The sequence below is a fragment of the Homo sapiens genome, chromosome 2 (genome assembly GCF_000001405.40).
Source record: "Homo sapiens chromosome 2, GRCh38.p14 Primary Assembly".
Lineage (NCBI taxonomy): Eukaryota > Metazoa > Chordata > Mammalia > Primates > Hominidae > Homo > Homo sapiens.
Genome location: NC_000002.12, coordinates 189,063,130 through 189,076,896, shown reverse-complemented (window position 1 = coordinate 189,076,896; position 13,767 = coordinate 189,063,130). Strand labels below are relative to the sequence as shown.

Here is a 13,767-nt window from a genome sequence, read left to right as displayed (position 1 = left end):
GTTGCCCAAGCTTGTCTAAAACTCCTGGCTTCAAGCAATCCTCCTGTCTCAGCCTCCCAAAGTGCTGGAATTACAGGCATGAGTCACCGGGCCCAGCTGAAGTTCTTCAGTGTGTTGACCCACATATCCTATTGCCAAATCTCAGAATCCGACTCCTCCCAATCCAGGACCCTGACTGTGACATAACAGACTTTCTAGGTTTGAGAATTCAGCCATCCCAAGAGCTCTCATAGTCTTGCATTAAGCCCTGTGCTTGGCCTGATATTCAGCTTTTTCTTCTCTCTGGTTGCAGATGAGAATTAAAATAAAATGCTGCCAAGGAGTCTTACTTTGGTGATTTATCACCATCAGCCTTTTAGTGTCTTTCTCCAATAGATGCACTATACAAGACCCATGCAATTCCATCAGCTTTATAATTGTTATTTTCTTAATTCTTCTCAAATGCCCGAGATATTGCATTACTAGCCCATTCCCTTAAAATATCTCTGTTCACCATTGGTGACAATATTTTCCATTGTGCCATCGCGGCATGCCAAGGGTGATTCATACTCCAACTGTCACCAGCTGACCAGTGGGAAATCCAGCTTACAAATCCCACTTTAGAGTTTGCTTTCTTGTAACCACTCTGACATTAATGGTCTTAGGGTCTTAGGTCAGGTTTCCTAGGAAACAGCCTCAAAAAAGTGACTTGTATACAGTACAGGAAATTTATTGGTGAGTGCTCTTAGAAACTGTATTTTTGAAGGAAGGAATGAATAAAAGCAGGGTTTTTCAGAGGGAGAAATTGAATTGTGTTGCAATTGCAACAGAGATCTCAGTCAATTTCAGGGGAACTATGGAGCTGAGATGGCTCTTGCAGACTTGTGTCAAATAAGGGCCAATGCTTTGTATCCCTGCATTGACCAAGGAAAGAGCACAGTCTTGAGAGAGCTAATTCCCTTTAGCTGAGGGCAATTCCTAGGGAATGTATCAATAGTGAGCCATCAGCAGGTTATATTTCCAGCTGGCAGGATGAATACTTCAGTACTTAAGGGAGCTCTGGGTGAAACCTACAGAATTCACTATAACTTAATTTATCTCTCTTGTGTATTTTATTTTCTGGACATTGCTTCTCTGAGTTAATCTGGCTATTAAGAATACTGAGGTGTTCAAATTTTCATTGTCTCTGAGTTCATATGTTAGAAGATGATACATTAAAGTAAAAGAATCATTTTAATCAGTTTCATTTTCTCAATCTTGATTTTATTGCTTATTGCTATAAGGATAGATGCATTTATGACTACCATATCAGCTTGTGTAAATGTATTTATATTGCTATTAACTGAGTGAGGGTTATTGTCAGTTAACTTTAATATTTATTCTTCAATTTGCAATATGGAAATTTTTTATAAGGCAAATAAGAGAAAATATAGTCTAAAATGTAATCTTATCCTGTCTTGTCTCTTTTTCTCTTAATTAGGGACAACGAGGTGCACATGGTATGCCTGGAAAACCTGGACCAATGGTGAGTTATATTATTTTCATATTAATTCATTAATTTATTCATGCATTCTTCCATTTGTACATTCAAAAACATTTACAGAGCACTCACCACATGCCAGACACTTGGAATAAAAAGTTGATGGACACATAGTACTTCTTCAAAACTGTTCTATTAAGGAAGAGAGAGATATTAATATTGTTGTATAACATAATTGTTAACTCCATAATACAGTATACAACTTCAGTTATGGGAACAACTTTCAAGCCAAGTCCTGAAAGATAAGTATTTAATATATAAAATGGGCAAGAATATAGCATTGTCCATAGGATAGATAGATGACAAAACACAGTGGGCTCAGAAAATTCTAGGAAGGTAAAATTGGATTGAGAGGCGAGAGCTATATCATGAAGGGTTATACTTACCATGTTAAATGGTTTTTGAGCTCTTTTCTATAGTAGTTAATGTGCGATCATTCAGGGATTTTAAACATAAGAACATTATGACCAGAGGATAATCTGCTGGTAATGTTGAACATGAAATGAAGATGGCTAAGAATAAAGAATGAGTTTGAATACCACTGGCATAATTCCAGAAAGAAATTACAAAGATGTGAACTAAAGTTATTATGGTAGTAACAGAGGCCGACTGCATGTCAATGAGCTAAGAACTCTCATGGGCATGGCCCAGTAGATTTCTGGTTTAAAGTGTTTGATGGATGATGTAATTTATCTGAAATTGGAAATAAAGAAAGAGGAACAGCATACCGTTTGTGGGTTTGAGTTTAGAATGGGAATAAATGAATTCAATTTCGTGATTAGATATGCAAGAGTGGAGCTCAGGATAGAAATTTGAATTTCAAATGTAGTTTTGGAAATTTTTAACATACAGGCAATAAATACAGCTGTGGGAGTAAAAATGTAACATGGAATGAGAAATGATGAGGTCTCAGTGTGTACCAATATTTTGTACATTGTGCTTTTTTGTGCTTGGTATGGACAAGGCTATTGTATTTTGCTTCAGACCATCTTGCACTATTTCATAGGTAATCCTCTGTAACTATGAACCTTTAATTCACGCTTGAAGATGAAAATCTGAATACTTATAACTAGATCTAGATCATAAAGGGCTATACTTACTTACCCATTTAAAGGGTTTTTGAGCTCTTTTCTGTAATAATTAGTGTGAGATCATTCAGAGATTTTAAACATAGGAACTTTATGACCAGAAAGATCATCTCCAGGTAATGTGGATGATGAAATGAAGATGGCTAAGACTAAAGAATCATCTGTAAATTATAAACATAGAATCAAATGTAAATTATAAACAAAGGCAAATATTTTAAATTTGACACATTTCAAGCATATTACCTTTTTAAAATTCCATTACTTGCAATAGTTCTCCCTTGTGAATAGCCTCAATTGCTGCCCATTAACTGCTGTGTTACCCAGAGGTACAAAGGATCCTAAGAGATGTGTGGAACTGAAGTAGATTTTAATTGTAACAGTGCTATGGATCAAGGTCTCTACTATTATTCAGTCAAGGACACTTAAATTATATCTCTACAAGCAAAACAAAACTAATTTAATTTTTAAAAAGAGCTTCAAGACATAAAGTTATTTTCTGAACTTTAGAGCAACTTATTATACATGTGCTTTTCCCATCAAATTATGTGACTTTAATAGTGGTGCCCTGACTTTTAAAAGGAAGATGTAATGATATCTAGAATAAATTATTTCATATATTATTAACACTGGTTGCTAGTAAAATGTACATACTTATATTGTAGGCATCATGTAGTAAACTTTATCTGTTCATCATGAAATTAGTGGTTCTCAACTTTGGCTATACACTAGAATTACCTGGAAACTTAAAAATATTGATGTCCAATCCAATTTAAATGTAATCTCTAGAGGTAGACTCAGAAATCAGTATTTTTTAAAGCTCTACAGATGATTTCACAGGGTCATCAATGTGGATAGCTGTTGCAGGAAACCAAGAAGTGGTGTTTTGTAATAGCACAAATATATTTATAAAATGTTTTCTATAGCCATTTTTTAATGTAGTAATTGAGCACAAAGTTGTTACTGAAAATGCTCCTAAATAAATAGTCCATGGAACAATTTTATTTTGCTGCAACAGGAAAAACTGAGTCAAGCTCTACAAGGTAAATTATGCTAACAAAACACCAAGAAAAGAAAATATTATGAGGGAAAGAGAGAAAGTATTGTAGGAAATATTCATGATCAACGTGGGCCAAGACTGAACGATCATAAAATAAAATAAATTTAAAGCTATTAGCCAAAAGTAAAGTATAATTATAGAAATTGAAATCATTTGCCCCAAGGATCTTTTCTCCCTTGTTTCTCATAAGTAGGAAACAAAACATAGGATGAAAAAATATGTACATTTTGAAAGGGCTTCTATTAATTGAAAACTGATGAGACTAAAGTACAATCCTTAGAGTTAGAGTAATCTGTACTAGAATTCCTTTTATACTCACTTCTTTTAAATTTAGTCTTTTAATCAATGGTTTAAATTCTATGCATGCCTTCCCAAATGTAGGGTAATATAAATATCCATAAATATCCACTTATTGCCTGAAAAACCTCTCTAAAATATCCAGATGGTTTTTTTTTTTTTTTTTTTTTGGAGATGGAGTCTGACTGCAGGTTGGAGTGCAATGGCGTGATCTCAGCTCACTACAACCTCCACCTCCCAGGTTCCAGCAATTCTCCTGCCTCAGCCTCCCAAGTAGCTGGGATTATAGGCGCCAGCCACTACACCCAGCTAATTTTTGTATTTTTAGTAGAGACTGGGTTTCACCACGTTGGCCAGGCTGGTCTCGAACTCCTGACCTCAGGTGATCTGCCTGCCTTGGCCTCCCAAAGTGCTGGGATTACAGGCATGAGCCACCGTGCCTGGCCTCCAGATGGTTCTTAAGCATCATTTTTATAGAATGAAGTACTAGATTTTGATATAAAATATAACTTTCTAAAAACTATATTATTTGATTAACACAAAGAAAGTACATCTCTCAAGAGGCAATTGTTTGAAACACTTTATGTTTGTGATTGACTTAATCCTATATGCTATTTGAGTAATCCAATTATGTTTAATACCTTGGATATGTCTTTTAGTATTACTTTAGATTGATGTTGAAGGTACTTATAATGAAATTAGCCTATTATCTTTGTAATTTTAAAGTGAAAGGCAGGTTATTCTTATGTGTCTAATACAAAATGACGCCAAACTCTAAAAAATGACCTAATTAGATACTAATTGAATACATGTCTGATTACTTTTCTGGTTTCTTTTAATAGGGTCCTCTTGGGATACCAGGCTCTTCTGGTTTTCCAGGAAATCCTGGAATGAAGGTAAGATGTTAATGTTAATATACAGTATTTAACGCTACATGATTACATGAGTCCCAAAGTGAAGAATGACATTTAATTAATTGAAAAGTGTGAAAGTTACTTTTAACTAAGGAAAGAGCCTAGAGTATGCTCATTTTTCATTATTACATGGAAAAAGATACATTAAAAAATAAAATTAACTGTATAAATATAATTAAAGGAGAATTACTTATAATTGTACCCTTATAATATCAAAGAACCTGATGTGTTAGGACTCTAATGCCAGCCAGTCAAAACAACTATAAGGAATAGGAGCTTTAAACTGAATAGGAACTCTATTCTCTATTCTTGAATAGAGTACCTGGAAGTAATAAACAGCAGAATGTTCCAAACAATAGGAGGTTAGGAGGTTAAAATAAATTAGATGCTGTCAAAAGGCATCTAACATTTTCACCTAACATTTGTTATCACTCTGCACTCCCCCAGCTCCACAATCCAATTCTATGAAGCCATTAAAGGAGTGGGCACGGAGAATATTTGGCTCTTCATGTGGGAATGGATTAAAGTATTCTGTGGGATGACTTAATATTTGTAGTGAATCACAATTGGTTCTTTCTCTCAGTACTTTGGGATAAATTCAAGGATGACAGTAGAAGGACATTAGGATTACATTAGATAAACTGGTGAATTAATTCAGAACACCTCTTTCAAATTGTAAGCAATATAACACATCTGATTTCCCCTGATGCCATGTTTCCCTTTGCAAAGACATTCTTAATCCTGAAGAGATTATGCACAAGATTATGCTGTACAAAAATGACTGCGGTCACGGACAGTCACCTGGCCCCTCTAAACTTTGTTTTCTCATGGAATTTTGTTGAGGATTATGTGACACCATCTATGTAAACTCATCACATAGGGCCTTATGCAGAGGACACCCTCAATGTAAGTTCGTGCTTCTTATTAGTTGTGCTACTCAAATTGGATTTAAACTTAGAAACAAACCAGAAGAAAAATGTCTGTAGCTGACATTTCAGATATTCCTTGAAAATGTGAGAATCACCAAGTCAAATTATTCTGTAGGCTCTCTCTAATGACATATTCAAACACTGTGCTATGGGGATGCCGCTGCTTTAAAATAGTGCCTTAATTCCTTTCCCTGCATTCACTGAGAACTCAATGTGAACTCAAGTGGGTGGGATCTTGTTGGGTTCTCCTCTGAATCTGATCTGCTCCCTGAAGTCCTAATAATGTCACTACCACAGACTCTGGCCCAGACTCTCTATATACCCCTATCAAAACATGCAAAATCCCTTCCCTCTTTTTGTGAGACCCTCCGTCCCCAAATTGAGTTCTGGTTAAGGAAATACTCACAAATCTATGAATTAGCAGAAAGAGGTTTATACTACAACTTTCATGGGGTTTACTTTAACTTCACTAGCAATCATAGTTTACACAACCATTCACTCTGGTTACTTCTCTCTCCTCCTGGGTGTTTGTGGTACTGGTTGTTGGCTACTGAAAACTGCTCAATAAAACTCAAATATCTAGCAAAACTGTTTCTGTTAGAAATTTTCTGTGTTTTCCTTCTTGCTTCTCTCCACCATAAAATTCCTGGATCTTTGTTTTTGGACAGGATCCTGCTTTTCCTACAAAGTTCTGCCATGGTCTCTGCTCTCTGACTAAAGAATAAATTTCCAAATCCAGTTCTTTGCATTTCAATGAAGTGAAACAGAGATTCAATATGCTTTACTGATACTGATGAGATTCCTAAGGCTTAGAATTTTAGTTTTCCAGGCCTCTTTAGGATTAGATCCACATAGGTACATAATAAGCCAGATAAAATACAGAAACCAAGTTAAGTTTGAATTTCAGATGAGCAAAGAATACATGTTTAGTATAAGTATGCCTCAAATATTGCATGGGAAAAACTTATGCTAAAAGTTATTGTTGTTTATATGAATGAAAACTCAACTAGGCATTTTTATTTGCCAGCTGGACTCACTATCTTGGCTTGAAATAAAGGGAGCTATTAAGTTACCTTAACCACTTCACTCTGCTCTTAATGTTGCACTTTAAAAAGTATCTTTTAATTCTTATCAAAGAAGTATTGTTTCTTTGGTTTAAAAATAGATGGTATTTTGCTTATAATGCTGCCAAAAATTAAGTTGATTAGACTTAAATAAAGTTGTAGCCCAGATGTTTTTCACTTTACTGATAAATGCTTTCTTGAAGGTCGGTGGAACTGAGTTTTTACAACTCAAATCTTATATTCTGAAATATGATTTGTTATATTGCTTATATAGCAAGGAAACAATTTATTGTTCTGTAATGATGGTATGAAATTTTATATAGACTTTTTACAGTGAGTTTCACAGATTTGGAAAACTATTGTCTAATCTTGCAGCACATTTTAGCTGATATTAGGTTGTTTTATAAATATTGGAAAATAATATGATTTATCCTCTGATGATTGCATGAAGCTTTAATTTTGTAGTAAATTTTTAGACTTGAAATATCTAGCTTTACATTGAACAGAAACAACCTCTTTAAGCACAGTGGGTTGGTCAGTTTTTCTCCTTCATTTGATTTGTGTTAAAGAGTCCGAATGTATACACTGTTTATACAGAAATGGGCTTGAATAACCTGAGTATTTATGTAAGAACATACTAAAAGTAAACCATGTGGATTTAAGAATATCTATTCTTTGATAAATATCTTAAATAAAAGATATTTAAGACTATCTTATTCTTTGAGTAGACTCAGTGTGCCTGAGGTGTAGGGCTGTTTCTAGTTTTTCTTTATGAACTTAGATTATCTAAACTGTTTAATATGTAATAAGTGTAAATTCTGATAGGTGTGGGAAGAAAAATCTCAGATTTTGTGGAGGTTCAGAGGAGAGGGAACTTAAGCTAACCCTGGTGTAGGGCTTCTTCAACTGGAGATTGGATATGGAGAATATTCCTAGTGAAGAGGCCACCAGCGTCATCCCTTAAGAAGGAAGTGGGAAAGTGAGTGCGCTCCTTAAGCTTGGTTGGGCACGCATCTCTTGTAATCCTCTTTGGCCTCTTTCAGTATTTGGGTTTCAAATGTAAAATTCCAAATAAGCGGTCAACTTTGTACAATGCCACTCTCGTATTTTTCTTAAATTAACATTTCCCTTTGCACCCTTTTAGGGAGAAGCAGGTCCTACAGGGGCGCGAGGCCCTGAAGGTCCTCAGGGGCAGAGAGGTGAAACTGGGCCCCCAGGTCCAGTTGGCTCTCCAGGTCTTCCTGTAAGTTTCTAGCATATTTAAGAACCAGCCCAGAAAGCTGGACATTTCTTGTAACATCAGAACAAATTCAACCTATTTTTTTAATTGATACATAATATTTGTACATATTTAGGGGGTACCTGTAATGTTCTGTTATATGCCTAAGATGTGTAATAATCAAGTCAGGGTATTTAAGATATCCATCCCATTGAGCATATATCACTTCTATGTGTTGGGAACATTTTAAGTCCTCTTTTTCTAGCTATTTTGAAATATAAAATTTAATATATTCTCTGAATTCTGAATGAGTGCTTACAACTGTGAAAAAATATATTTCCCTTGTCAACTCTGTAAGTTTTACCTATTTTATGTAAAGGAGAAGTAGTCAAAAAAGTAATTTTTATGATATAATGGTGGTTGATTTTTAAAAAATGCTTCTACTTCCTTTTTGAAGATGGCTGGACATCTGTATACTAGCACATTTGTATCTATATATTGCTTAATATTTCATTACATACTTTTAATGTACCTTTTAGGGTGCAATAGGAACTGATGGTACTCCTGGTGCCAAAGGCCCAACGGTGAGTACTGCATTTATGGCATGTGAAGCTCAAATGGGCATGATTCTTTAGACATTGGCCCCAGACTGCTACCTGTGTCTCTACTTACCACATCACTCTTGCTGTTTAATAGGGCTCTCCAGGTACCTCTGGTCCTCCTGGCTCAGCAGGGCCTCCTGGATCTCCAGGACCTCAGGGTAGCACTGGTCCTCAGGGAATTCGAGGCCAACCGGTAATGACCTTTGAAAGAACTATCATCCTTTAGTGTAATCTAACTACGAGGGCCAAGAGTAATAACATGTCATGTGATGCAATGAAACATAGATAACGTGACTTATCCAAATGTGGGAAGATGGGAGTCTTTGTGAAGTGAAAGCTAAATGTTGAGGTACAACTTAGATGTTTAAATTCTAAGTGGAACATTATTGCAGTATGTTAAATTTTAGTGTTCTTTTATTTAAAATAATAAGGTTATAACTTTATGGTTCACCTCATAGAATTTTATGAATAATTGAATAATAAATATTATGAAAATATTATGCAAGCCAGTGTGAGGAATATGGAGCTTCAATAGGAATTTATAATGACAATTAGGCTAGGGTTCAACAACTATTTCTTCAGAGTTATTGTTAAAGAGTGATTCAAATATATTAATCAGATTGAATGTCAGATTGAATGTTTTCATATTTTACAGAAATTATTTATTAGAAAAAATATTTTGATGAACCCATAACAAATAAACACATTGAGAAGTTGTGCTTAATAGCTTTTAGCTTGATGTATAAAAATAAATATTTAAATAAATATTTACAATTCTGTTCCAAGTAATGTGGTCATGCTGATAAATTCTCTTAAAGTGCTGGTGACAGATTTATTAAATCATTAGTGTTGCTAGTGTCACATTTGATTTTACCAAGTTCTGAATTTTGCAATCCAGTTCTTACAACTTAAATTTCAGTTGGTATTTAAAGACACACCTACAGAAAACCCTCTAACATTCCAAGAGTGAAATGCCCTATTTGAAGTTGCTAAATTCTCAATAAATACGGCATAAATATAAAATTATTTTGATTCTGGGTAAACAAGTTCACATCCTAAAATACAGCCTAAATGTATTTATCTATAGAAATTGTCATTGATAGTTCCAATTTTAATTTTCAAATTTGAATAATAACTCAATAATTCTATTTATTCTACTACACATGATAAAAAACATGATTTTAAAAATAAATCTCTTAAAGACCACTATAAATTAAATGGCTTCCAAATTATACTGAATTTTATAAAAATTTACACATATTAACATATTCACATGCATTCATTTAAAAATGATTATATTATACTACTGATGCAAAACCGACTCAGCTGGAGAGAATTTTTAAAGCCTATTTATTGTAACTAATTTGAGCAGATTGGACTAGCTAAATGTCCTGGTTCTTACAAATATCAATATATTTTTTTCAGGGTGATCCAGGAGTTCCAGGTTTCAAAGGAGAAGCTGGCCCAAAAGGGGAACCAGTAAGGTTTCATTGTTTTAATGATAAGTAGAACATAGTATTGTCTGGAAGTGTACAGCTCAAAATGCTCAAGGGTTTAAAATAATAATGAGAATTATAATAGCTTGAGATGAAAATATCTCATTGTTCCATATACTTTAAAATTTGTGACTGACTTCGTTAAATTAGGCTTCCAACTATAATTCACTGGTTGGATGGGTCTTTCTGGTAACTGTCCTTCTGTTTTTAACAGGGGCCACATGGTATTCAGGGTCCGATAGGCCCACCCGGTGAAGAAGGCAAAAGAGGTCCCAGAGGTGACCCAGGAACAGTTGGTCCTCCAGGGCCAGTGGGAGAAAGGGTAAATTTAAATAATACAACACATTCTTACAGTTGTGAGGGAATTATGTGTGTAAGTCTGAGAACAGTAAGGAAAACTAGAACAGTTAAGAGAAATGCTTGCAGGTTCCCTGCACAGTTCAGTACAGTTATGTGCAAATAGAAAGAGCCAACTGACTAATCATTATTCATACATTCAACTAATATTGGTTAAATCACTAGTCTATGCCAATTTGAGCCATCTGTGCTTGGAATTATATCAGTGAACAAGAAGGCTATGGTCCTAGTCCTCATGTGGAGACTAGTAAATAGTTGTTTATTTTAGTGGAGAGGTAAACAATAAACAAGTCAATGGGTAAATAAAAATATATGTACACACTTTAAAAAATGCCATACACACACTAAGTAAAGACATGACACATTGGAGAGTAACTACACATATATGTCAGTGTTGTAATGTTAGATTAGGTGGTTAGGAAAGAGGATCCTCTGAGAAGATAGCATTTTAGCTGAGACCTGAAGATGATGATAAGCCAGTAGAAAACTTGGAAGGAAGAACATTCTTAGCAGAGGAAAAAGCAAATGCAAAGCTGGGAGGGCAGAAAGGACCTGGTGATTTTAAAGACCAGAAGAGGTAGCTGTGACTGGAGCACAGTGAGACAGGTCTGAAAAGAAGAACAGTAATCTCACATTTATCTAGAGCTTTGGAGAATGCAAAGCGTTTCACAAAAATGTCACTAATGCATGTCATTGTTGACATTTTAATTGCTATAGATGGTACCTATGCCTCTCATCTCTAGATATCAGTTTTCTCTGTTTAATTTTACTATGAATCGTTAGAATATTTCCTTGCTTCCTTCCTTCCTTTCTTCCTTTTTTTTTTCTGACATAGTCTTGCTGTGTTGTCCAGGCTGGAGTGCAGTGGCACCATCTTGGCTCACTGCAACCTCTGCGTCCAAGGTTCAAGAAATTCTTGTGCCTCAGCCTTTTGAGTAGCTGGGATACAGGCACTTGCCACTATACCCAGCTAATTTTTGTATTTTTAGTAGAGACAGGTTTTCACCACGTTGGCCAGGCTGGTCTTGAACTCCTGACCTCAGGTGATCTGCCTGCCTTGGCCTCCCAAAGTGCAGAATATTTCTTGATTTGAGGAATTATTTGGCTCAGTACTTATATATTCTTCAAAATTTTAAAGTTTTTCCATCGAGTCAGATTTTTCTCATGCATATCTATAGCCATGTTGGCTTGATGATGGCTCCTAAAACTTTATAGTGCTAAAAATAAAAATCACCTATTCATTACATATTGCAAAAATATCAACAACAATTAAGAATCACATTTTGGTCATTTGTAGGGTGCTCCTGGCAATCGTGGTTTTCCAGGCTCTGATGGTTTACCTGGGCCAAAGGTGAGGTTGCCCTGTCAATGTTGATACTTACGTGGGGGGTGCTCCAGAAGATGCCATTTTTCAGCACGGTGATCTAGCTATGGCCTGCATGGGCTCAGATCCAGAAAGGAGATGGATACAAATACCAGGCCTAACCCCAATCCTCTCTTGTGTAATTCCTGTATTAAGAGGCATAGGGGGGAAGGATGCTAGTTGGCGGAATGTGGTGACAAAATTTTATACGTTATATCAGTGCCTTGATTTGTATGTTATATTAGTGCCTTGATTTGTAAAACGATAATTTTACTTCTGCTTGCTTTTGTTTTTCTATACTCTTTTTCTTCATGCATCTGCTTTGCCTCGGTACAGGGTGCTCAAGGAGAACGGGGTCCTGTAGGTTCTTCAGGACCCAAAGGAAGCCAGGGGGATCCAGGACGTCCAGGGGAACCTGGGCTTCCAGGTGCTCGGGTAAGAATATAGCAAGTGTTTGCTACATCAAAGGGGAGAAGTGCTCCTGAGCATGCATTGGTCGGGTTTTTGTTTGTTTTTAAATTTAGTTTGTTTTTACAGTTTAGAACATTTCTTTGTTTTTATGGTTTTGATCCAATTCATTATTTTAAAAAATACTGGTTTGTTATTTTTATCATATATAGAAAACACGGTAACTTCTAGTCTCTCTCAAAGCAGTATGTATTAATAGCTTTATCACTTGGCATGAGAAAAAAATCCTGTTTGTCAAATTTTATAACTTGTTAGCAAGTAAAGAATTTATAAATATTTGTAAATATACTTTTATAGCAATATAGCAAATAAAGTAATTTTGGCAGAGAAATTCTGAAAAATTTTAACAATACATCACTTAAAAATTTATTTGATTTACAGAAATGTCATTCTATTCAGTTGACAAAAATGCAACACTATTTTTACTCTTAAGAATCTTTACTTCAACTGCATATCAGCAACAAACTGACAGTTGGTTTTTTATTTTCAGGGTTTGACAGGAAATCCTGGTGTTCAAGGTCCTGAAGGAAAACTTGGACCTTTGGTAAGTAATTTAAACAGAAGTCCACAACCACTAATATTTTTCAACAGACATGCAACTTAAATGATATTTATTTAGGTTAATGTTTTTGATTATATGGATGCTGGTCATATTGACATATTTGTACCAACTTCTGGAAGCATATTCTTAGGATCTATTTTCAAGTTGACAAAAATGTAGATCAAATTTTTACTAAGATAAATATTTGAGATTGAATTGCTTCCCTGCCTGACATCAGTGAAAATGTTAAAATGATATAGTTTTTAATGTTGGTGAAATTTGTCTATTAGCAATGTTCTCATTTTTATATCCTTCTAATTTTATATGTTTAAGAGATAAGTAGGTATGAATTTTGACAACTTATATATTCTAAGATCTTCCCTTGTTCTGCAATGTGAAATAGAAGTCCTGAATTTTCATTACCACAAACCAGAGTAAATGAAAGAAGAAAGATTTCCCCTATTAATATGACTGTCAGGAGACATCATGAGGAAGCTCATATCTAGAATAAGAATAAAATCTCTCTTCTAGTTACTTAAAATACTTCAGTGTTTTTTAAAAAACCCATTCAACTGTCCTGATTCTTTAACATGAAAATGCAAGATAATTTAAAATTTATGTAACATGATAGTAAGCAAAGGTGACACTTTGGGTGATGCTATGTTTAGAAACAACTTACATGAAACTTACATGGCTCCTGTCAATTCTATAGGGTGCGCCAGGGGAAGATGGCCGTCCAGGTCCTCCAGGCTCCATAGGAATCAGAGGGCAGCCCGGGAGCATGGGCCTTCCAGGCCCCAAAGGTAGCAGTGTGAGTACAGTGTATAATATGTTGGCCACCTCATCATGATCC

The 13,767-nt window shown here is 35.1% G+C and overlaps 1 protein-coding gene across 4 annotated transcripts in view; it reads left to right on the top strand.

Moving 5' to 3' along the window:
• Window positions 1-13,767, top strand: part of COL5A2 (collagen type V alpha 2 chain) — a 409,214-nt gene that overhangs the window by 364,215 nt on the left and 31,232 nt on the right. For all 4 annotated transcript variants that reach the window (XM_047443252.1, XM_011510573.4, XM_047443251.1 and 1 more), the window contains 11 exons: window positions 1,460-1,504; window positions 4,804-4,857; window positions 8,013-8,111; window positions 8,627-8,671; window positions 8,784-8,882; window positions 10,115-10,168; window positions 10,400-10,507; window positions 11,840-11,893; window positions 12,242-12,340; window positions 12,864-12,917; window positions 13,627-13,725. In XM_047443252.1, the coding sequence (XP_047299208.1) occupies window positions 1,460-1,504; window positions 4,804-4,857; window positions 8,013-8,111; window positions 8,627-8,671; window positions 8,784-8,882; window positions 10,115-10,168; window positions 10,400-10,507; window positions 11,840-11,893; window positions 12,242-12,340; window positions 12,864-12,917; window positions 13,627-13,725 (810 nt within the window). The remainder of the gene's footprint in view (window positions 1-1,459; window positions 1,505-4,803; window positions 4,858-8,012; window positions 8,112-8,626; window positions 8,672-8,783; window positions 8,883-10,114; window positions 10,169-10,399; window positions 10,508-11,839; window positions 11,894-12,241; window positions 12,341-12,863; window positions 12,918-13,626; window positions 13,726-13,767) is intronic.